Genomic DNA, 1245 nt, shown 5'->3' with positions numbered 1-1245 from the left:
ATTTTGCTGGACATGTTTATTGGTGCTGCAAGCCCACCGCCCTTTTTGCCTCTGAATATACTATGAGCCGACTCTCCCCATGCGAGGATGGGGCCAGGGAGTGGGCCTTGACCTAGGGACTGTCCATCTGAAAAGACGACCAGGTCCCATAGGCCCCCTGGTCACGAATTTGAGCTGGGAATGAGGAGGCTGGGCCAGTGGGGCTGGGAGGGGTGGCAGTGCTGGAACTGAAAGGCCGTTTTAGGGCCAGTTACCAGATGGGCAGCTGAGGACACTGAGTGGCTTTGGGTGAGAGACTCTGTGGCTGAGTCCTGTCCTCAGGCTCTGCCAGGTTCCAAGGGATATCCAGGTAACAAAGTCACATTTGTCAGCTCCAGAGCCCCGGGGAAAACCTTCAGGGGCGATTAATTCACAGATCAGCCTGGTGTGGAGGAGATGGCCCTACCCACTTTTTTCTTCAATAGGCTCTGGAATGTTCTATCCCCAACAATTGTGGACAATGAGGCTGGAGTCTTTTCTGACACTGTTAGAACAAGTGTGTTTGGAGAGCTTTCTGGAACGTCTGGTGAAAAGAAAAGACCCACTGACTCGCAGACATTCCATCTGCCCTCATTCCCATTCCTGTTTACTTCTGGGGGCCATGCTGGGGGTTGGCCCCAGGGACTTTGGATTCATCTTTCATTCGCTGGAAGAAGAAAGGAAGGCAGACCTTCCAGACTCAGTAGATGAAACTGACTTTGCCAGGTCTGGGCAGAGAGCAAGTGAGGTTCGAAGATGGGGGAGCATGAATCTGGGGGTGGGCTGGATGAGGTGGTGGGTGGGGGAGGATCAAGGCCTTTACTTGGTCGGGGCAAGCACAGATGAAGCCCCACCTGGCAACTACCTACTCTGTGTCACTCACAGCCTCATTCTCACTCGGCATCCTCCAGCTTCTTTTCACCACTCTCTTAACATCACGTGGGCACAATCCATATGGTTGAAAAGATGCCTCTTGCTGGGCGCGGTGGCTCATGCCTGTAATCCCAGCACTTTGGGAGGCCGAGTCAGGTGGATCACGAGGTCAGGAGATCAAGACCATTGTGGCTAACGCGGTGAAACCCCGTCTCTACTAAAAATACAAAAAATTAGCTGGGTGTGGTGGTATGCGCCTGTAGTCCCAGCTACTTGGGAGGCTGAGGCAGAGGCAGGAGAATCGCTTGAACCCGGGAGGCGGAGGTTGCAGTGAGCCGAGATCGCACCACTGCA

General features: G+C 54.0%; 1 annotated feature.

The window, feature by feature from the left end:
• Nucleotides 1–563: an enhancer, noted in NCBI's record as "H3K4me1 hESC enhancer chr22:45838232-45838794 (GRCh37/hg19 assembly coordinates)". NCBI's record gives its function as "activates a minimal SCP1, AML or CMV promoter by ChIP-STARR-seq in naive H9 embryonic stem cells {active_cell/tissue: H9 hESC(naive)}" and the evidence as "EXISTENCE:reporter gene assay evidence [ECO:0000049][PMID:30033119]".

This window comes from Homo sapiens, chromosome 22, assembly GCF_000001405.40.
Source record: "Homo sapiens chromosome 22, GRCh38.p14 Primary Assembly".
In the NCBI taxonomy this organism is placed as follows: domain Eukaryota; kingdom Metazoa; phylum Chordata; class Mammalia; order Primates; family Hominidae; genus Homo; species Homo sapiens.
The sequence above is the reverse complement of the archived record's forward strand: the minus strand, read 5'-3'. Positions and strand labels throughout refer to the sequence as shown.